Source organism: Homo sapiens, chromosome 3 (genome assembly GCF_000001405.40).
Source record: "Homo sapiens chromosome 3, GRCh38.p14 Primary Assembly".
Lineage (NCBI taxonomy): Eukaryota > Metazoa > Chordata > Mammalia > Primates > Hominidae > Homo > Homo sapiens.
This window is the reverse complement of record NC_000003.12, coordinates 42,606,741-42,630,834: the sequence shown is the minus strand read 5'-3', so window position 1 is coordinate 42,630,834 and position 24,094 is coordinate 42,606,741. Positions and strand designations below refer to the sequence as shown.

General features: G+C 35.1%; 1 protein-coding gene and 1 long non-coding RNA gene across 14 annotated transcripts in view; one reads left to right on the top strand and one right to left on the bottom strand.

Moving 5' to 3' along the window:
• ZBTB47-AS1 (ZBTB47 and NKTR antisense RNA 1) overlaps positions 1-18,525 on the top strand; it is a 42,079-nt gene extending 23,554 nt beyond the window's left edge. The window contains exons 2-3 of the long non-coding RNA NR_125400.1: positions 7,023-7,071; positions 18,468-18,525. This is a non-coding gene — a long non-coding RNA (ZBTB47 and NKTR antisense RNA 1). The remainder of the gene's footprint in view (positions 1-7,022; positions 7,072-18,467) is intronic.
• Positions 1-24,094, bottom strand: part of NKTR (natural killer cell triggering receptor) — a 48,124-nt gene that overhangs the window by 17,901 nt on the left and 6,129 nt on the right. For 7 of the 13 annotated variants that reach the window (XM_024453539.2, NM_001349124.2, NM_005385.4 and 4 more), the window contains exons 3-7: positions 13,191-13,265; positions 11,708-11,815; positions 11,127-11,171; positions 9,319-9,406; positions 260-289 (exon numbers count right to left, since the gene is read on the bottom strand). In XM_024453539.2, the coding sequence (XP_024309307.1) occupies positions 260-289; positions 9,319-9,406; positions 11,127-11,171; positions 11,708-11,815; positions 13,191-13,265 (346 nt within the window). Of the gene's footprint in view, positions 1-259; positions 290-3,607; positions 9,055-9,318; positions 11,816-13,190; positions 13,266-24,094 lie in introns of those variants that run through there. The other 6 variants (NM_001349125.2, NM_001349126.2, XM_047448194.1 and 3 more) reach the window with 5 other exon arrangements.

The following is a 24,094-nucleotide window of genomic DNA, read 5'->3' as shown; positions in this document are numbered from 1 at the left end:
AAAACTGAAGAGAAAAATAAAAAATAAAAAGAATTATATTGCTGAGAAGCCCATCCATGAGCACAGATTGACTCCTTCAGTCACATGAGAGCCATGGGGTCTCAAAACAAGTATATTCTGTGATCCTAAGGAATAGCTTTTGCTATGAGATTAAGCCAGACATCAAGAGCGCTCCCTTGAGGGCTCAACCATGGTCCAATCTCTCTTTATGGCTGGCCACCCAAACACTTCCCCAATGTAGTAAGAATGTAACTCTTACCCATCCAGGTGTGGAGCAGGCTTTGTGGTACTATGTAATAAACATCAACACAAAGATGATGTCAAACACGATGTGTTCAGGTGAAGAGAGCAGAAAGGTTTAAACACAGCATGTAGAGAACAAAGAAGTAAAGATAAAAAGATAGGGGAAAAAGTTAAACATGATATATATCTAACCTTAAAAACCCCAAAACAGCAATAGTAGCCATCTTACTAATTTAAAAAACTCAAGATTATAATGAATTACAATCATCTCTATTAGACTATATGTATGCATACATATGAAATCAGTTTGACTTGTAGCCATAAATACACAGCATGAATACACATAAAAATTAAAGTTACTCTCAACTCCAAAACAACAAAACAAAACACTTAAAAAAAAAAACCCTCAAAATTTATCAGCGTAATTAAATAAGAAAAGCACCTCCTATTTGCCCTATGGAAAGAAAGTGATTAACATTTGCCCCAAACACTTAAATGTTTTCTTGTTATTTCTCATACTGAGTCAGTCCACATTTTTAGGCAGGCAGAGGTAGGTCTCAGGAGTTCTGTTTCCAGAATTCCTGCCCATCTTCCTTCACCCAAGGTGAAGCTCTGACACGGCAACTCTGAAAATGCGATAGGGAGAAAAGCTTCAATCTGCCATCCCTTCTGACAGCAAAAAGTAATGATGGATAACATTGCAGACATTTTAAATTTCCTTGGCCCAGAAAACACCCAACCAGCTTCTTCTACAGTCACCAACTGTCAGACAGTCACTCTTGGGAAGCCTACAGGGTATATTTGGTTAAGATATTTTGAACCCAAGCTAGTTTTCCCATAGCATTTTCACAGATCTTCACATTATATGAATTGCAGTGGAAAAAATTCAAAAGCAGATAATTAGTCTCAGAATTATATACTACAAGCATCTTGATTTATAAGAATGAGAAACAGATATTTAAGAGCTAGAAAACAGAAATTTGAAAGAGAGAAAAATATCACTAGATGTCAGGCCATGTTAAAGCAGTCAACTGTACTAGAAGCTGCCATATAAATTTCTGTATTCATTTTAAGGCAATTTTAAGACATGTAAGTGAACAAAACCCAGTTTTTAACCTTCGTAACAATGCTAAAAATATTTATTCTACAAGGATTTGTAATGCTTATACTTACATTAAGAATATTCGGTTCTGTAAGAGCACTACAGAATTTAATTTAAAAAAATTAAAATGTCAACTTAAGAAGTTCCAGAATTTTAAAGGAAATATTAAGTTTTAAAAGCAAAAATCTCAAATATTCCTTAGAAGATTGAAAAGTGGAAATTCATGCCAATGTAATTATAAAAATAAAAACAGGCAGCAAAAAGAAAACAGAACAAAAACTATCTAGTGAATTAGTGAGCCACTAGTGTTTAAATCATTAAACTAGCATCCAGAAACCACCTTGGATGGTAACTTCAAGATAGAAATGTGCTTTAATTATAAAACTTTACCAAAGTACACTAAAGACAAGAAATTGGTACAGAAGCTAGTGACTCTATTATATGAAAGATGTAAAGAGTGCTTTTATTTTTATTTGTTTGTTTATTTTGAGATGGAGTCTCACTCTGTTGCCCAGGCTAGAGTGCGATGGCATGATCTCGGCTCAATGCAACCTCTGCCTCCCGGATTCAAGTGATTCTCCTGCCTCAGCCTCCTGAGTAGCTGGGATTATAGGCATGCGCCACCAGGCCCATCTAATTTCTGTAATTTTAGTAGAGACGGGGTTTCACCATGTTGGCCAAGCTGGTCTCAAACTCCTGACCTCAGGTGATCCACCTGCCTCAGCCTCTCAAAGTGCTGGGATTATAGGCATGAGCCACCACACCCAGCCAAAAGGGCTTTTAAAAAAGTAAATTTTTCTACAGTGTAAGGGATCAGCCCCAAATATTTAGAAGTAAAAACGATGTATGGTTTCCTGATTAGATACATTCCTTCTCCTTCTTTGATCCGTTCCTCCCATGACTCACAGATCCTGCAGTATTGGGGAAAGCCTGCAAATTTTTCTTAAAACATAAAGAGCCCAATTCAATTTGCCATCTTGGCTGATAGAAAGGCTGTAAAAACCACTTTATGGCAAACCTTTGGAGAAAATGGTGGAATAAAACATTCCAGAGTAGTGTAGCGATGCAGCAACATACTACTTGAGACTCAATTTGAGGATGGAATAGCTATCTTTATGACATTCAAGTTTAGTTTTTAATTCAAATGAAAACTGCCAAGAATAGGCAAACTTGGTCCTTTATAGCAGTAGTGCAGAAAACAAATGAAGACACGAATGACTATTTCAAGGACAACTCAGCCTGCCCATAGTGCCTAAACCTGATATGAATGATTAAAGTCCATTACTTGCATCTGCAACTCAAGATACAGAAATATAAGTCTGCACTTTAATTGGATTAGATTACATATTAAGAATACTAAAAGTATTTAACAAAAAGAAGCCCTCTGGGGTTCTCAACCTACATTCCAGGAGTAGAAATCCCAATGTAAAGCAGGGTTACTGGCACTTGGCTAATACGTGGATGAACAGAGGACATTAGCCAAAGAGGGTTACAAAAGGGCGGAGAGAAATAATATCCACAATCCAGACTATTCAATTCTACTAAAAGAGGCAGAGAGCTCATCTCACTAACTCTTAATCTTTCAAAATCTTCAATTAAAAGAAAAATTGCATTGATCTTAAAAGCGGCTGTTTAAAGAGCTGTGCAATGGTGACACATGCTCAGTAAGTTAAGGCCAGAGGCTATCAAAAATGTTTAAATTTATATATGCTTATGAAAACATACCTAAAAAAGAAAAAACCACAAAGAACATTTCAAATTGTAAAACCTTTCAATATTTATGCATTTCCATTTTTCTCTTGTACTTAAAGACAGTGATTTTTCAGTTTTCCCGACCCCTGAATCTACTTTAAAAAACATGTGTGCAAGGTATTTAAGCCTTATAAATCTTAGAAATTGACAAGTGTCACTGCTACTCCAAAAACAATCTATAGTTTTATACCATTATCAGAGAACCTTTTGCCCTTATACAGAAATGACTAATTCCACACTGAAATGAGAACTAAAACCATACTATAAACTAATAACCCCACTCCCCCACCAGAAGATGTACAGGAACTTGGTGGAAACAAGCCACTGAAGTTAAAATATAGTTCCCAGGATTAACCATGAAAAATAAAATGCACTTGTTTTACATGTACTGCTGCTATACAGATAAAGCAGAAAGTTTTTTTTTTTCTTAAAATGTTTCAATGCACATAACAACAGAATTAAAGAGATAAAGGCAAAGAGAGAGAGAGCCTTAGAGTAATGAGACATTACCTTTGGAGCGCACGGTGTAACACTCTTTCTGTAAATTTTACACAAAAATGGCAAGAAATAAATTGTAATACACTTTTAAGACAAGACTGAATCTATGTTTTAATATCAATATAACTTTGAAATTAATTATTTTCAAGTTTTATGCAGAGCAAGAAAGCTTTTTTAAATGGAGGGCTCTAAATTTTCTTTCATATGGGATATTTACGTAGAGATGAATTATGCTTAAGAAAAGCATCGTGGCTAAGTGGGAATCTATTTAGATCCTTAATATTGTAACATAGAGTGCCAATAATAGCTATTAACATATTACATTTCCTTTCACAAATCCCAGAAATTAGCTAAGACAACATTTTCTCAAAAGAGAATAGTGTATCTTGCATACATACATAAATATAAAAATCTGAATGCCCAGGACCAGTTACTACCAGTTGAAAGCAAAAATTTCATTAGAAAAAAGTGAGTTAAGATCATCCAAAATAAAATTTCAAGGAACTTTTAACTAATTCACATCAAATAATTAAAGAACCTTTCATGCTTCTACATTTGAAACCTTTGTTTGGTGACGTATCACAACAGACTACTTTCAGGAGTTAATGAGCAAATGTTCGGACCCTAGTTACTGTTCAGTGATATTAGATACACATTGAAGTTAAGTCACTGAACATAATAATAAAGCAGCATTAACTACAATTTTAGGGACCTTCTCAGAGAATAAAAAGGCAAGAGAGATGAAAGCGTAAGTGCAGTCAAATCTTAGCCACAATATCTTCTTTTCCTGTCTAATCTCTGATTTTCCCCATTATCAAGATTTTTTTTTGGAGAACACACACTGACCAATTTTTATCTATATTTAAACAAATAAATCTATTACTACTCAGATCAAAATACTATTATACCATGAACAAAATGCTTTATAAGAGTTTTGAATGTAATAAATCTTGAAATATTTAAAAATAAGCTTAAAATTATCATAAAGGCATTGACAACATGAATAAGTCAAAAAAGAACATAATGTTTGAAATAATGTGGAGTTTTCAATGAATGTTGCAAAAAAAAAAAATAAGTGACTGTAGGTGTAAAGTAGTACAGAAGAGGGAAATAAAGATAACTTCTGTCCACTTTAGCTTTTAACATGCAATGCTTTCCCTTCAACTCCTGAAACTATCACACTGTCAGGGAAGAGGCACCAAATTGTACAGAATGACAACACTTGTATAAGGGTAATGGAAACTAACCAAGCCACTTGACAATGCTCTACCCATGTGTTCCAAAAGTCACCAAAATAGAAGTGCTTTCTAAAATTCAGCACTAATGTTAAGATAATACACACCAAACATTACTAGATAAAAAATTTCTTCCACATTGCTAGCACGTAAGTCACATAAACATTAAGTTATTAAGCCTGAATGTTAGGGATGACACTTGATATTCAGAGAATATGGTTTATGGCTAAGTTTCACGAACATCTTTGCTCATGAAAAAATCTGAAATTAACATATGAAGGTATTACCCCAAAAAAAGGAAGGAAAAAGCTAGAGCTTCTCAGGTTATTAACACTTACTAGCATTTCTTCTTACATAAATTTATGAATACGTGGGTAGAAAAAGCATTTCTACCCCGAATCTAGTTTTATTACCCAAAACATCAACACAGCTTTACAAACCCCTTAAAACCAACTACTCCTCAACTCTCCTTGCTCCACTACTTTGTAATAATCAGCACTTCTCTCCCATTCAGGTACTTGCAAGTCAGATTCTTAAATGACATAAAACATATTCTAAAACTTATGCCCCGCCCCCCCATTGCCCTATTTATGACTGTTAAAATGTAGCAAACATGTTTTGTTTAAAGTTCAAAGTTTGACTCTTCTATATTATCTTGTTTTCTTACATTGTTATAATTATTAATGACCACTGACAGTGGCCAGTGACAGGAACTGTTCTTGCAGGGTCTGCAGATCCCTACTCTATGGCTGCGCAGACTCATGTTCTAACAGCAGCTGATGAAGAGACTTCTGTTGCTCTTGATTTAAGATGAGCCCAATACTTCTTTAAGACATTTTTCAGACTAATGAAAACTAGGCAATTATGACTATTTCCATTAGGCAAGACAATGTTTGCACATAAATCATTCCACACATTCAGGAACTTACAACTACCCTACAAAATACCTTCTTCCTTTTACATCCATATTTTTATACCAATGTTTAAGAAAAACGAACTGAAGGTACATAGGAAACTAAAATCAAGGTTTCCTGACAGCTATATTAGTGTCCTATCCCAGAAGTTACTACAAAGCTATAAACTATTTACTCAATCTTTTTCATGACTATTTTATACAACATCTTTGTCTTTTTGATTAATGTATATAAAGACAAAAAAATTACAGCCAGAATTAATAAGCTATCAGTAACAGCAAAAGGGGAAAGAATGTTTCCCCAAATGTCATTTTGTTTTCCAGCAAAATGTTTGATGCTTCTAATCCTTAACTAAAATAAATTCAGAGCAGAGTGGTTAATAAAATTTTGAGCTTAAATAAGCTTAAATTTATAGTAAAGGCATTAATAATATGAATAAGTATGCAGCATTCTTTTTCTAGCTATCAGTTTCTTCCAGATTGTAAATAAAATTTCTATAACCTGGACTTTACATGACTTTTCAAGAATTTAGCATAATCTACAGAATGAAAAGGTTGGACTAGATAATCTCTAAATCCCTTTCCACTCTATGACTTTATAATTCCAGCTTTTATTGTGGTTTCTTCCTATTCTTTAACCTAAAAAATAAGAATACAAAGGACAAAATAAATACCAAATTAACTTGGTAACTTTAGTCCCAAATCTTTGAATTTCTTCAAAAATGTTCAAAATAAAACCACTGTTTCTTTAGTGATTCATGGGTATAGTGCCATATATCACTTCTTCCACATTTCTTGAGCAGTACTATTCCAAAAAGAATCAAGTTTTCTTCTATATAGACCCCCGAGAGCAAAATCATTATGACAAATACAGTACTAGAAATAAAGTTACTGTAAAAATTACAAATAGATTTATAGAAGAAAATCTGATTTTCATCATGTATATAATTGTTCCAGCCAAAGAAAGCAATATATGCAAAATTATGTTGAATAAAAATGACATATGCCTAAGGAAGGGGGAGTTTTTAGATGTGTAAGTAATGAAGACAGTAGTTAATGCACAAAACATAAGAATCCTTGAGGGATGTCTTGCAAATACCCATACTAACAGCACCAAATCTACTCCTTAGGAATTGCAAAGTAACAGATTTGTAACAAAAACTACAAAAACAATTTTGCAAGGATGTATTAAAAATCCTTATTGAGCCTATAAAGCAGGAACTATAAAGACAGTTCTTTTTATTTTACCACCATTCTTACACTATCCTTTCTTTTTCAGATTCCAGAACTGCCACTCAAAGTGCCCTATGAGGAGCTGTGGTAACAAGGTAAAAGGCAGGAGCCATCCTTTGGAAGCCATCAGCAAGCTCTGTGACCATCAGAGCTATTATCTGTGATCATATACATAACCTGAAGATAGCATATCATACTTTTTTTTAATACTTTCAACTCCAAAAGGCTTTGGGCTTGTAAAAACATAGTTTCAAAGATTTTTATTTTATCAGCCACCATCTCCATTTTTACCTATCCTTCCCATAAATGCAAGGATATGTTTTAGTTCTGAAACATGAAAGTTAATTTGATTTTATCCTGCAACTCTTGAGAACTGATCTTTCTAGCCAGCATAAAGAAAGTATACTGACACAAAAATCTTCAGAAAAAATATAGGAGGATTAAATACTCAATTACTTCCAGGATTGCTTACTCCTTTCCAAAGGGACTGCAAACCCCTTTCCAGAAGGAAATTTCAAACTAAAAAATTTTCTTTCAATCAGAAGTTCAGTGATTTTACTGCCATCTAAAGTAAATTAACTTTGAAAATAAGTATAAAAATTATAATTGTAATTTATTGATTCAAAATTTTGTATTTGGCATTCCTTCTCAAAAATTGTAGTCCAATATAAAATTAGGCCATGTGGAAAACAGTAAAGGCCTTTACTAGATATTCCTAGAAAACACTGAAGCAAGTACTAAATAAAATAAAAATAAGATGTTTTTGAAGGGAGAATCTCGTATACTGAATTTTAATTAGTTTATGTTTAACGATAGCATTTTTAATGAGTTTTAACTCTAACATTTTATGAACAAGCTAATGTATGTAACAATATCAAGAAGCTGCTGCTACTTGATAAATCAAATTTTAATTGTACTGATATAAAAAAGGAAATCTAAAAGAAACTTTAGAGCCCTCAAATGGTAGCTTCTTGACCAATGAATCATTACGTTTTTCATGTTCACAGTTCAGATAAGCTTAAAAATGGAAATGGGAAACCTCAACCAAAGGATAAACAATTTTTACATTAAGTTACTATTAAAAAGGCTTTCTGAAAATATTTCTTTCTACTCTGTATTGGCTCTTAAGAAGGTTAAGAATAGAAAATCACTCTGTTAAAGAAGAGTAATAACAAATAACCTATGGGATCAAAACAAGAGAACAACTGTTGTAGGTCTTTTACCTGTATAATTCTAAGCATAATCTTTTATCAGCTTTCCATTTTTAGGACATTCTTAGGAACAGAATGCCCCTTATCTGAACTTTATCAGATCATGTAGAAATATATTTTTCAGACAAATTTAACATTTGAGTTTTGTATGTCAGTAATATACTCCTTTAAAGACAGGGAAGCGCCATTCATACTCATTCATTCAGAAAGATGACAAAGAAAATGTTTTCAATAAATTATTAATGAAATATTTCTCCAACATACATAGGACAACTGAGATTCACTTCCAATCAAAAGCAATAACCCTCATGCTGGACAGTTATCTTTCACATTTTATATGATAGAATTATGATAAAAATAGGTTTTGAAGCAGCCTTAGATAAGAATATAACTAAAAGTATGCCAAAGGATTTATTTAGAATTTTCAGATAATAAAAAGGTAAGTTTTTGGTTGTGCAATGCACATCCATGTAAATATATTTGCTTTTTCAAAAGCAAATTTAGTATTCTTAAGTTTCCTGAGTGACAATCTCATAAATTTTGGTGGAAATGACAGCAACATTGGGTTATTTCAATTATGCATGGAGACCTCATAAAATGAGTTTTTTAAAATGCTCGCTCAACAGCAGGTCACCTATCTCTATACAACATCAGAAAATAATAGTACCTCTCTCAAAATTGCCTCAAAGAGCAACAGTAAGAGGAAAAAACAACCATGCAATGGTTTACTCAAACTGCTTTCCCTGTTGAGGGGGTACAGTAACTGAATACTCGTCTATGAACAATTTTTACATGTTCATCAATAGTTTATGTTCCAATCTAGTTTTGGTAAAGTCAGCACTCGAATTTGACAGGGGCTTAAATATGCCGTCATCTTTTCTGAAGATGACGGCATATTTTGAAAACAATGTATAAGTTTTAAATTTTTTAAGTCCCATTCTTCCAATTCAGGATATATGCTGAATGCTGAGGCAGTTGTTAGACCTTATAAGTTACTATGATATTAGAAATTAATAATAAAAATAAAGCTGACAGAATTTTAGCATTAAACTTGGTTTAACTATACCATCTTTCTTATGAACAGCGCTTCTCTGTTTAAGAAAAGCTCATCTCTGAATTATGCCTACTCACATGAAAAACTGGGAACCATTGGTATGTTTCCCTCGATTTGCCATTGATAAAAGGAACGCTCTGTCATGTTTGAGAATAAAGTTTTCATCTGTTTGAAGAAAACACAAATTTGTCAGTCTCCAATTATAAGTCACTTTAAAGTAATGTTCAAGTAATAAATAGAAAGCAAAAGATGAAATTCCTCTTCTGGTCAGTACAGATAACTTGACTGAACACTCAGAAAAGAAAAATTTAAGCTAATCAAATAACAAAAGCATAAAAAGGCCAAAAGATACTAATTAAAGCCTTGAGGAAAAGAACATATATTTAATACTTCACACAAACAGCCTTAGAACAGTCACTTTTAGTAGTAACATACTTTGGCTAAATGATATTTAAATTATTAACTTTCAGGGAAAACTAATAAAATTTTAGAAAAATCTCTAGCTTACTTCCTCCAAATTTCCAATTAGCTTGCCTAATGTGCTATACATGGAAGAAGTTCAATAATCTTTTTAGGTGTTTAATTTTTATACGGTAAATTTATTATTCAACTTAATTGAAGCTAGACTGTAAGACAAAAAAATTATGTTATATTAAGTTACAGGAACATATCTAAATTAAGTATGTGTATACTCAATTGTATCACAAAATTATCTAAGGAAGAAAGCCCTGTGAAACAAAAATTTAAATAGCAAAATACAATTTTAAGGTACAAAAGTATCTGCCACAAGGAACAACCACAAAGTGGCCTACAGCATTAGTTTTAAATTGCTACATAACAGAACCAGCTAAATAGCTGTTTCCTACTAGTTCAAAGGAAAAAAAAATCTGTGATAAAGATCACTTAGAGTTATTTTAATTCCAGCAGGAATATCCTTGAAAACTAACTTATATGTCCTTTTAACATTCATACAAACAAATCTTCTTCAGAACAAACAGAAACACAGAAAACTTTAAAAAGTGATTACCTTGGGAACAGGCTTCTGAAAAAGAGTAGTAATCCATTTTCCCCCAAAGGAAATATAAAAGACTATTATAACACTGAAGCTATTATAGCGTTAAAACCTAGTAATATTAGATTTCATTACAAATCTCTGCAACTGACTTTTCTAAGGCTTTTTGGGGCAAGTGCAATAGTTAGATTTATGCAGATGCTACTATTATGAGAATAAACACAGTCATAGTTCTAATATACAAAAGAAAACATACAAACCTTTGAAAAACGAAATTTCAACTTTTATTCAAAGAAATTGCTTGGTTTAGGGGAAAAAAAACCCCACAACTAGACTCTTTTCTCTGATGTGAAATTAATAACCCATTGGGAAATGAAAAAAGATACAGAAGCATGTATGAAATAATACACAGAATTTTCCAAGTCTTCAAGCAATATAGAAATCCAGCCACAACCTGACCCAGACTGTCCATAAATTTATTAGGAAGGGTGCAAGGGAACAGAATTGGAGTTTGTGTTACTGAGCTTCGTTCTCTTACCTTTTCATTTTGCAAAAGACCACATTCTCTATAAACAAAAGAATATGTTGACAGTTTTAGGCAGGAAGATAGGAGTTTTCATGTATATAGTTGCCTAACCTCCATGCTGAAAGTCATGTTTAACCATAAAGTTAGCCTTAATTAATCTTGTCAATTAAAAATTATATATTACAATATAATTTATCCCCAAATTCATGCAAATAAAGTATTTTCATGCAGCATTAGTTTCATGCAAAAAGTGAACTATAAGTAAACCTCTTCTCATTAAAAGTATATGATCAAACTTGCTTTAATATCAGAACTGAAACAAAAGACCGTAAAATATTAAGCCTTACCTTTAAAATATCCACCATAAATTGATTCTCCACCTTTTCCATTACCTGCAAATAATCACCTACTTTAAGCCATAATGAACATTAAAAATATACTAACACAGAAATCATTTTTGATAGCTTCAATTCGCTGAAGGAAACCTTGGAATGTTATAACTGCTGCAATAATCAAAATTCTCAGAGTCCTCAATTAACTTCATCTGTAAAATATATGTCAAGTCCCATTACAAGAAATACCATCAAAAAAGTCATCTTCACAACCTACTTATTTCAAACAGTAATAACACCAAAAACATTCCAGAACAAAAGCAATCAGACAGTACTTTGGCATTCATTGTAAAGGAATTCACTAAGTAACTATAATATTAATAAAATAAACTGCATAAAAACAAAATAAAATGTCTTACGTGGTACTTTGCTTTTTCATACATTCTGGACCTATAATATTCACTCATCCAACAAGTATTCACTGACCACATTTTATATCATACTGTAACTGACACAATATTTAGAACTAAAAGTAATAATGAAATACTTTAAAAACTGATAGATGGAGTTATTAGGAACACAACTTTTAGCTCTACCTTCACTGAAGTCCCCACCCTGAATCATAAAGTTTTTAACCACACGATGGAACGTAGAACCTTTATAACATAACTTCTTCCCAGTTGTTTTCCCAAGGCCTTTCTCTCCTGGAAAAAAAAAAAAAAAAAAGAAATGAAGTTTAATTATTTATACATCCTTCCATGGAAAGAACAAACCAATTAATCCTGTGTCAAATCTTTCCTGTGTGCTAGGCACTGGAAGAGATATAAGAAATAGATGACATGATAATTTAACATACACACATGCACGCAAACCAAAATAAATAATCCAAAGCAGCATGTAAATGTAAAATTGTGTGGTACAGACTCTACATGCTATAGGACATAATACTAGACACACTTATCACTCTAGTCAAAGAATGAGGTCAGGCGCAATGGCACACGCCTGTAATCCCAACATTTTGGGAGGCCGAGGCAGATCACTTGAGGTCAGGAGTTTGAAATCAGCTTGGCCAACAGGGTGAAATTCTGCCTCTAAAAAAAAAAATACAAAAATTAGCCAGGTGTGGTGGCACAGGCCTGTAGTCCCAGCTACTCAGGAGGCTGAGGCAGGAGAATCACTTGAATCTGGGAGGTGGAGGTTGCAGTGAGCTGAGATCACACTACCGCACTCCAGCCTGTTTTTGAGACAAGAGTCAGACTCCGTCCCAAATAAATAAATAACAAAATCAAGGAGTTAGTGCAAAAATTGCATATGTGTATCCAAGTAAGAATTTAAAATTTCAGTGTGTTCTAATTTTTTTTTTTTTTTTTTTGAGACAAAGTCTGGCTCTTGTCCCCCAGGCTGGAGTGCAATGGCGCAATCTTGGCTCATTGCAAGCTCCGCCTCCCGGGTTCAAGTGATTCTCTTGCCTCAGCCTCCTGAGTAGCTGGGATTACAGGCGCCTGCCACTACGCCCGGCTAATTTTTGTATTTTTAGTAGAGACGGGGTTTCACCATGTTGGCGAGGCTAGTCTTGAACTCCTGACCTCAGGTGATCCACCTGCCTCGGCCTCCCAAAGTGCTGGGATTACAGGCTTGAGCCACCGCACCCGGCCAGTTTGTTCTAATTTTAAAGTAACATTATAGATGTTTCCCTCCCCATTTTTTCTATTTATTTAAAATTTATTGTAAAATTTGGAATACTAAATTTTTTCAAAGTAGTGAAATTCATAAAATTCTACCAAATCAGTTTTGAATGTGTGCTATTATTTTATAAATTAAAATGTATAGAGAAGATTCCATTATATAACGTAGATTCTTACTCTCTTTTTCATTTTTGAGATCATTCCTTTCTAATCTCTTCCCCTTAAGAAATGCTTCCCTGATTTCATATAAAAGTCAGTATAAGTAACTCTTTTTTTTTTTTAATTCACAAAACTAATTTCACGAGTCCATTATTCTTCCAGGAAAATATCTATTCTGTTCAGCAAGGTAAAACTGTAAGCCACAGCTTCTCATTGGAAATAATAATTCACTTACCTGAGCACAAGCAAAGGAAGTTTTTGCATGTTTTTGGACATATGTCTGAGAAGAGCTGAAACATAATGCGACCAACTGAAATAAAATACATAGGAAAAAAATAGTAAGCAAGTTAAATATATCACATTTAAATGGGAGAAAGAAACAGGGCTAACAAATTAGAAAGTCTATTTTTGTAATTCATTTTAATTTTTTAAAAGATGTAATGGGAAAGCATTTAACTGGGTGATACCTATGAACAAGAACACCATTTTATTTGTTATTGTTAAAATTTACATGCAGCCAAATTGGTTCCAGCCCCAAAATTATAGGATTTTAAGTGTGTTTTAAAGGAACTTTGTATTATTAGATTCCTCGTAGTATAGTTCCCTATCTGAACTATAAATCTTCTTTAAAAATACTCTCAATAGTTGTTTGATTTATGCTTGGGCCCTTCCAGTGATGAGAGTACATCAAAAGACAGTAATTCTGGCCAGTATTGTTAAGAAACATCTCTGTCTCTTTATTTTCAGCTTTCTTCCTTTAAGCAAGAACTGTTAAGAGCCACCTTCCTGAATTGCACCAATCACACTTAAAATTCACATTTTAAGCTGGGCATGGTGGCTCACACCTATAATCCCAGCACTTTGGGAGGCTGAGGCAGGGAGGGTTGCCTGAGGTCAGGAGTTTGAGACCAGCCTGGGCAACACAGAACGACCCCTGTCTCTACAAAAAATTTTAAAAATTAGCGGGGGATGGTGGCACATGCCTGTAGTTATTGGGGAGGCTGACGTAGGAGGTTCACTTGAGCCCAGGATTTCAAGGCTGCAATGAGCTATGATCATGCAGTGAGCTTTGATTGTGCCACTGCACTCTAGCCTAGGTGACAGAGCAAGACTCTTAAAATAATACTCCCCATCCTATCCCCTGAGAGAGCAGAAAGAGAAGAGGTTATGCTTCCCTACAACAAACACGAGATTACAAGGAAAAGTCAGCAACTTCAATTTAACTATGCCAGAGAAAAATGGTTCTCAAACTCTGGTCTCAGGGCTCTTTTAAACTCATTACTGAGCTTTTGTTTATGTAGTTCATATCTATTGCTATATACCATATTAAATGTTAAAACTCAGAAATGTTTAAAACACAAGAATACACAAGCACACATTCCATTAGGTGTCAGGGCAGTGATATCATCACATATTAATATATGATCTCTGGAAAACCTGACTGTATATTCACAAGAGAATGAGAGCACAAAAGGCAAATCATAATCTATTACTATAAAAATAATTGTGACTTTATGGACCTGTTGAAAGCGTATCAATAAAATAAGAAACGTAATTCTGATTTGCAATTAATTACTCTTCAGTTCCTTTCCCCTTTATTCTACAAGATCTTTTCCATTGTAAACCTTTTTATTTATTCAAAAGGACTTACAGAATAAATAAAAATTAACTGTGGACCAAGCATAAATCATGTTCAGAACAGACACAAAATGACTCTGTATCACTAAGACTGTATTGTATTCCTGGCCATATCGGTCAGTTCCTGTGAGGAGGAAACAATGATACTGCATTATAGACATCGTTAATGGGTAAAGCAGGATGGAAGACCTTCCTGTGTCAACATTCTTAGCCTATAGCTTTAAAAGAGCCAAACTATAAAGCAATTTCAAAACTTTGTAGCTGTTCTTAAAACCTAAGGGAATGAAGAAAAAGACGGAAAGCAAGCAAAAAGGAGGACTCAAGATTTTCAAGCAGGGAGCAGTGTATCTAAAGTCATTTCAGAATTAAAAAAAAACCCTATAATATCAGTAATAGTAACTATCACTGTATTTATATAGAAACATTTTACCAGTATAATAAATGTATTTTGATCAGTCCTCATAAATCTCTGGGAAATGGCTTAGCTGGTGTCAAGTTCAAAATCATCCCGCTTTGCATACCAGAACAGACTTAGATCTTTGCAATCCCTGTAAGATGGCTACTTTTCAGGATAGAAGACATAATCGAAATAATCAAAACATAGGGCTTTTCTTAGGGCCACAGTAACTTCAACATTAGGGTGTTTTTTGTTTTGTTTTTTTCAAAATCTTGTAATGCCTCAAAATGAAAGCTGTTCAAAGTTTCAAATGTTTTTAGTTTCTCCTTAACAGATAATTGGAAATTGTGTACCCTCCAGTAGTACAACACACACTTGAAAACAGTTAAAATGTGATTACATTCCTATCCAATATTCGGAGAGGGATAGCTAACTAGAGTGGTTTAAAAAAAAAAAAAAAAATCTCGGCCAGGCATGGTGGCTCACGCCTGTAATCCCAGCACTTTGGGAGGCCAAGGCAGGCAGATCACCTGAGGTCAGGAGTTCAAGATCAGCCTGGCCAACATGATGAAACCCCATCTCTACTAAAAATACAAAAATTAGCCAGGTGTGGTGGCAGGCGCCTGTAATCCTAGCTACTCGGGAGGCTGAGGCAAAAGAATCGCTTGAACCTGGGAGGTGGAGGTTGCAGTGAGCTGAGGTTGCATCACTGCACTCCAGCCTGCGCGACACAGTAAGATTCCATCTTAAAAAAAAAAAAAAGAAAAAACAAATCTCACCTCTAATATCTTACCCTCTTCTAGCCTGGAGCAAAAAAAAAAGTCTTTTGCCCTCCGAACCTCATGGCACAAAGGATAGAGTAGAGGTTTTATCTCCTCTATGGCATTATGTTGTTAAGAGCAAGAGGAAAAATACAACAAAACTGAATTGTTTTTGCCTCAATAACAAGGTGCAAGATTAAACCTGGCACATAAGAAAAATAATTTTAAAATCCTGAAAAAAACACATTAACCTAATTAGGTTTGCAAAGCATGGCAAAGGCTGAACTATGGATATTCAGACATTAGTTGAGACTTTCTTAAGTTAAAATGCTAGTATATATGCAATTTGAAGGGTTTAAAAACAAAAACCAAGGTCAAAAAAACAAAACAGCATTATGATTTATACCTATAAAGAGGTAACCTAGTATTAATTCCCTTCAAATTAAATCCTGAGATTGAACACTACAGGATACAGATCAGCAAATACTAACTTGAACTGAAGCTCATTAGCAAGATTAACAGGTTTTCAACAAATATTTTTTATTGAATTGTATGATTTTATAGAAAACAGGCTACCATGTGATGATACTTCTATTCTGAAACTCAAAATAGACAATATTCTAAAGGTATGGTCTTTAAAAAAAAAAAAAAGTCAATGTGGTTCACTAGTTTAGTTAGTAAATATTTTCGGTGATGGCAAGCATAAACTATGATTACAAAACATATTGAAGATAAAAAAATTAAGCTGTAGTTACAATAAAGGACAGACTTGGAATGAATTTGCGTAAGTCTCTCTGGCTCCCAAACTGATGAGAAAAATAAGTGTGACAGTAACCCCATCTCTGTAAAGAGTTAAGAACACCTGCTGATGATGCCTCTTTGGAAACTGCTGCTGACTAAATAAATAATATCTAAGAAAAATTTGTTACTCAACAAATACTATTTATAATTTAGTGGAATTTAGTAATCTTTTAGAATCAGTTGATACCGGCTGGGCACTGTAATACCAGTGCTTTGGGAGGCAGAGGCTGGAGGATCACTTGAAACCAGGAGTTCAAGAATCAGTCAATACTATTGATAATATTCTTATACATAGTTTTCGTCCACAGAATTAATGTTATGCCAATAGATACACAGCTCTATAATAAGACTAAAATCTACTGTTAGTGTAAACATTAGTATGTTGCTTTTATACATGGCTAAGGACAAAAATGACACAAAGCAGGACTAGTTTCTAAATTTAATCCGAAAATACCAACATGCAGATCCTTAAAAATAAGACAGGGGAACAATATTAAGATTAATCAGGTAATATCAACACATGTTAAGCTTTGACTACAGACAGGAAAAGTCTATGTCATGGTGTAGATTCTGATTTGGCCACTAGGTGAAAGGAATAAAATCACCAAGTACACAGATGGAATAAAATCAAACATCATCTTTCAATACTGTTCCTTGTTTTCAGAAATAGTTGCGCTGGAATTGCAGATTCAATGGTTTAAAAAGGAGACATGTATTATGTACATAGATGATATGGTAGTTGGAAAAGTGAGCATCAATTAGAAAAATGTTGCAGAGGTTGATAAACTACAGAAGGCAAAGAATAGCCCATAGAACAATTAATTACAAGCAAGGGGTGAGGAAAAGAGCAAAGGTTAAGAACAGATCACACTAGGTAGGCCAAGAGCAAAATCTAGGAAGAAGATTAAGAAACAGGAGCAGCATAACATCGGGCCATTTACTCAAATATTATTTACTGAGATCTTACCCATATGTCAGGGAATCCAACAGTACTATATACTGTTGTGCCTGAGTTTCAAGAAGAACGTAGTGCCTAAGTTTCAAGAAGCTCACATCTTGGCTAGGAATGACACATGGAAATGCAGCTGCTACACAATATGAGCTATCATTAGTATGAACTAAGGGCACTTATATATAACCTAGGTCTGACTGTTGTGTGTGACCGCAGAGAGATAGGGACCATGACTGCTTTACTTACCACTATATCCCCAGAGACTTACGTAGTGCCTGGTACAGTTAGGTGCTCAATAAATATTTAATAATAATAATACTCAAAACAAAATTATTCAAAGACAGATTTACAAAATACTTTCATAAATGAAGGAACACCCAAATATACAGATTAAAATTATTCACTACATACCAGGAAAAAATATGTAAGTGGAGCAACACCAAGATATCAATTAATAAAGCTATTTAGTTTTGGAGACATAAATGGAAAAAAAAGCCTCCTAGTATCCAGGCAGTAGAATCATATCGTTCACAAAGAAAAAAGAAAGAAGACCAGCTTCAGACACCTTATATTACAAACTGGAGACAACTGAGCACAGTCTACCATTTTTAAGGAATAGGCTGTGAAACAAGAATTCTATACCTAGCAAAGGAAATACATTTTATCCTGAAATATCTATTTGAATACATATCCCTGAGATATAAGTCAAAAAATTAATGAATGAGAACTAGTAGGAAGAGTGGCATTGGGCACTGAATATATTACATTACAAAATTAAACCTAAATCACTATAATTATGGTTTTAAAATAAAAGGAAATGAGGCCGGATGTTAGAGCTGCCAGGTATGACAATGCAAACAGTGTTAATTATGGTTTTAAATGTTATCAGTATTAGGAAACAAAGTTATGTAATGGCAAAATTTTTTTTATGTACCATCTGAAAATGTTCTTTCTTTTGAATAGGAAATGTTCTCATGACTCAAAAATCAGTGGAAAAAGGTACAGGATGAGAAGCCTTGTTTCCCAACCCTATCAACAGGTACTCACTTTCATTAATTTTCTGTGTATTTTTCCAGTTTCTTTTCATACACAAGCAAATATTGATAAATTCTTATTTTTCTTCCTTTAAAAAATGGTAGATTATGCACACTGTACTGCACCTTGCTCTACTAACATATCATGAACTTTTCTCATGCCTGTGATATAAAAATAATGTATTTTATTTTTTAAGAGACAGAGTCTCGCTCTGTTCCCCAGGTTGTAGTGCAACGGCACAACCTCTGCTCACTGCATCCTCAACCTCTTGGGCTCAAGCAATCCTCCTGCCTCAGCCTCCTGAATAGATGGGAACATAGGAGCATGCCACCATGCTTGGCTAATTTTTGTATTTTTTGTTGAGACAAGGTCTCACTATGTTGCCCAGGGTAAAAATAATTTCAGTTGGAGGAAGGCAGTGGAGAATCAATAAAAACCAACAAGGATTTGGACTGGTGAAAGAAAATACGCATCCTCATACTTCATAGTGGGAATCAATAGGTAGACTTTTCTGAAGCAGAGAGGAAATAAGGGTTTAGGCATACATTTTTTTTTTTTTTTTTGAGACAGAGTCTCACTCTGTCACCCAGGCTGGAGTGCAGTGGCACGATCTTGGCTCACTGCAATCTCCGCCTCCTGGGTTCAAGCAATTCTCCTGCCTCAGCCTCCCGAGTAGCTAGGATTATAGACACCTACCACTATGCCCAGCTAATTTTTTGTATTTTTAGTAGAGATGGGGTTTCACCATGTTGGCCAGGCTTGTCTTGAACTCCTAACCTTGTGATTTGCCCGCCTCGACCTCCCAGAGTGCTGGGATTACAGGCCACCATGCCCAGCCAAGGGTTTAAGCATACTTAAACAGGTATTCACAAGTAGAACTAACAATATTTTACATCTTTCAAGCTTCTTTGGTGGGAGGGGCAGCAACCTAGTAAAAGATATAAAACAAAGGAAATAGCCAGAAAAACATAAAATATAAGGCCGAAACAACTTAATTATTTAGCCACATGAAGCTTTTTCCATGACATGTCCATAAACACCCAGCTAAAGGTTTCCTGCAGATAGTACAAGCAAAAACTCAAAAGAGAACATATTTACTGGCTCATGTAGTTATGATGAGGATATTAGTGCAGATCAGAGAATCAAAGGGCCAGGATGTCAGGAAATGAGGTCAGATGTTAGAGCTGCCAGGTCTGACAATGCAAAAAGTGTTAAATACCACTTATTTATCCTGATCACTGCATATAGTCATAAATATTTTCATTAATGAATAAAACTAAAGATAAATTAATCACTTAGGAAGATAAAAGGAAGAATACCAAAATTTAGAAAAAAGAATTATAAGATAGTATACAGATAAAAAACAGGCCCAATAAAGAAACTAAAATGCTGCTAACTATCCAAAAGAGTGCTGCTATTAATTCTTTAGATATAGATGAATTACTTCTAATCTTCAAGTAACATTAAAGTGTAACACTATATCAACTGTTCTAGAGCACAGCAAAAGATGAAAAGCTTAATTTTTTTGAAACAAAATAAAATCGAAACCAAAGCCTGGGAGAGATGATATAAAACAAATTTAAAACCCCATATGCCAATCTCATTTTAAAAGAGACACTATTCAACATTAGGAAATCTACTAATATAGTTTATTGAAGTGAAGGAAAAATCCTATAAAAATCCCATGATAGAAAAAAAAAATCCCACGATAGAAACCAAAAGTGCACGGTGAAATTCAACATTCATATCTACTACAGAAACAACAAAATAAATTTTAAAAAAGAAAAATATAAATTAAAAAAAAGAAATTCAACATTCATTCCTTTATATGACACACATATTCTCAGATATTTTTCAAATCAACAATCAGCATTATCGTTAATGGTGAAACACTCCTGTAGCATTAATTCCAGTGAAGCAGGAAACAAGTCAAAAGTAGTTGTTAGCATCACTACTGTTTAATGCTCTTTCAGAAATTCTAGTCAATGTAGGCTAGGCGTGGTAGCTCACGCCTATAATCCCAGCACTTTGGGAGGCGGTGGGGGGCGCGGATCACCTGAGGTCGGGAGTTCGAGACCAGCCTGACCAACATGGAGAAACCCCGTCTCTACTAAAAATACAAAATTAGCGGGTGTGGTGGCTCACTCCTGTAATCCCAGCTACTCGGGAGGCTGAGGCAGGAGAATCGCTTGAACGCAGGAGGCAGAGGTTGCAGTGAGCCGAGATTGCACCATTTTGCACTCCAGCCTGGGCAACAAGAGCGAAACTCTGTCTCAAAAAAAAAGGAAATTCTAGTCAATGTAAGTAGATAAGAGGACAATAGGAGAGATTTACAAGTAAAAAAGAGCATATTTATCACCATTTGAAACATTAGCTATACACCTAGAAAGCCCAAAAGAACCAACTGAAATACCAACAGATACTGAAGTTGTTGATATTTATATTATGACAAACAAGAACTAGTAGAACAAAATACAGTAAAAATCACATTCTCAAAAACAACAAGAAACATTCTACCTACATAACCATAAGAGTATAGGATCTATAAAAACAAAACTCCAACTTTGAGAGGCATAATGCCAACATGAATAAAGGGAGAGATACCTTGTTCTTAGACAAGACTCAAAATTGCAAATGTGCCCAATATTCCCTAGAGTAACCTATAATAACTTAATTGCAACCTTCAAAAATACCAGTGAGATTTCTGAGGGAACTTGACAAAATGATCCTGAAGGTTGTCTGAAAGAATAAATGTGCAATTCCCCTTCTTGAACTTTTGTTTTGAAATTTTCAAATCTACAAAGATGTTTTGCCATATTTATCCCTCTCTAAACACACAATCTTCTGGAACAAACTGAAAGTTAAAGACACTGTGACACTTCACCCCTAATTATTAATACTTCAGCTTATATTCCTAAAGAATAAAGATATTCTGCTACTTAAATCCAAAACCATTACTACACCAAAGAAATTTAATAGTGATTATCATCTACTCCATAGCTGTGGCATAACATGAAACATTACATTTGACCTCTGTCCCCAGTTCCTACATTTGACCTCTGTCCCCAGTTTCTAGCACAGTGCTCCTAAAACTTGTAATTTTCTAAGTGATAGGACTGATAGGAGCATCTTTTGTTCTATTTGATCTTTCTTCTTTTTTTTTTTTTGATATATGAGTCTTGCTCTATTGCCCAGGCAGGAGTGCAGTGGTATGATCTCTGCTCACTGCACCCTCCACCTCCCAGGTTCAAGCAATTCTCCTGCCTTAGCCTCCTGAGTAGCTGTGATTACAGGTGCTCGCCACCATGCCCGGCTAATTTTTGTACTTCTTTTTAGTGGTCAGGGTTTCACCACGTTGGCCAGGCTTGTCTGGAACTCCTGACCTCAAGTGATCTGCCTGCCTCGGCCTCCCAAAGTGCTGGGATTACCGCCATGAGCCACCACACCCAGCCTACTATTTGATATTTCTCTCAGATTCTTGACAGAGAACACTTAAATCCCTTAGCATTCGCATCCAAAGAAGAGACTCTTGGCAGACCCCCAGATAGCTTCAGGATAGGGCTGGTTGCCAGAAAAACCATGCCTTGGTTAGAGGTCTGTAACTTTCAGCCTCACTTTCCAACCTTCAGAGAGAGAAGAGGGGCTGGAGATTCAGTTAATAATTGATCACACATATGCAATCATACGTGATGAAATAATTGATCATACATACATATATTTTTAGCCACAAAACCCCCTAAATGGCAGGGTTTAGAGAGAGCTTCCAGACTGGTGAACACAATGAGGGAGGGCGACATGTCCAGAAGGCCCATGCATCTCCCCACCCTCTGCACCTACAATACCTTGCCCTAGGCATCTCTTCTGTTTGGTTGTTCCTGAGATATATCCTTTATAATAAACCAGTAATAGTAAGCAAACTGGCTTCCTAAGTTCTGTGAGCTGCTCTAGCAAATTACTGAAGCTGAGCAGGGGGTTGTAGGAATCCCTAATTTACAGCTGGTTGGTCAGAAGTAAGAGTGACTCAGAAGCCAGGCGCAGTGGCTCACGGAGGCCGAGGTGGGTGGATTACCTGAGGTCAGGAGTTTAGGACCAGCCTGACCAACATAGTGAAACCCTGTATCTAATAAAAAATACAAGAAGTAGCCAGGTGTGGCGGTGGGCACCTGTAATCGCAGCTACTTGGGAGGCTGAGGCACGAGAATCTCTTGAACCCGGGAGGCGGAGGTTGCAGTGAGCTGAGATCGCGCCATTGCACTCCAGCCTGGGTGACAAGAAGGAAACTCAAAAAAAAAAAAAAAAAAAAAAAAAAAAAAAAAAAAAAAAAAAGAGCGACTCAGGACTTGCGATTGGCATGCCCGCAGTGGGAGCAGTCTTGTGGAACTGATTTCTCTTAACTTGTGGAATATGACACTAACTCCAGGTAGATAGTGTCCAGAATCAAATTGAATTGTTGGACACTTAGTTGGCTTTGAAGAATCTGTTACTGTGGGAAAAAACTCCTCATAATAATCCATATTCAAATTTACCCAACTACCCCTACAATGCCCTTTACATGTTTTTTCCCCCTTTTCATTCTTTTTAATGGCTGAATGGAATTCTGTTGTTTGGCTATATCAAATTTTACTCAACCAATCCTCAACTGATTAGCATTTGAGTTCCTTCTAGTTTACTGACAAATATACATCTATTTTTTAAAATCCAGGAATCTCATTCAAGCATTATATACCCATTTGGTTTTCATTTGTTGGCCTCTTTTAATCTAAAACAGTCTCCATCTTTTTTTTTTTGCACCCCATTAGAAAGCATGTCAGTCGGACCCATTAAAGTACCTTTATAACTGAGATATTAGCCACATCTTAGTTGTAAAGGAATTTTCCTCCATTTTAAATAAATAATCTGTTGGATACTTTGCACACAGCACAACTTTTCACCTATGGTTTGGCCACTGATGACTACTTTCTGAACCAGTTATTACCATGGGGGTTGCAAAATGATGATTCTTCTGATTCCATCAATTCTTCTGTATCTATTAAACTTGAATCTTTCTGTTAAGAGCCGCACGCACCCACCCCATGTCAAAAGTAACACAGTATCGACACAAAAAGAGCCTGGATCCCTCACATGGACAGCCCTGATCTGCTGATTCTGAGTGCTGTGTGACAGAAAAGCAAAACTTTTATATTGTTGTAAGTACTGTTATTTAACCTTTATGTTAGAACCAATCTTATCATTTAGCCTAACTAATACAAGGTATCTTCATATGAGGGTAAACTACAGTCACCAAAAGTGATTACGTATCAGAAGGCTGAGGTGGGAGGATCATTTGAGACCAGGAATTTGAGGCTACACCACACTATGATCATGCCTGTGAATAGCCACAGTACTCCAGCATGAGCAACGCAGTGATACTCTGTCTCTAAAAAAAAAGCCAAACGAAATTTTTTTTTTTAGGGATAGTGTCTCACTATGTTGCCCAGGCTGGTAGGTTTCTAACTCCTATGCTCAAGCAATCCTCCTGCCTTGGCCTCCCAAAGTGCTGGGATTACAAGCATGAG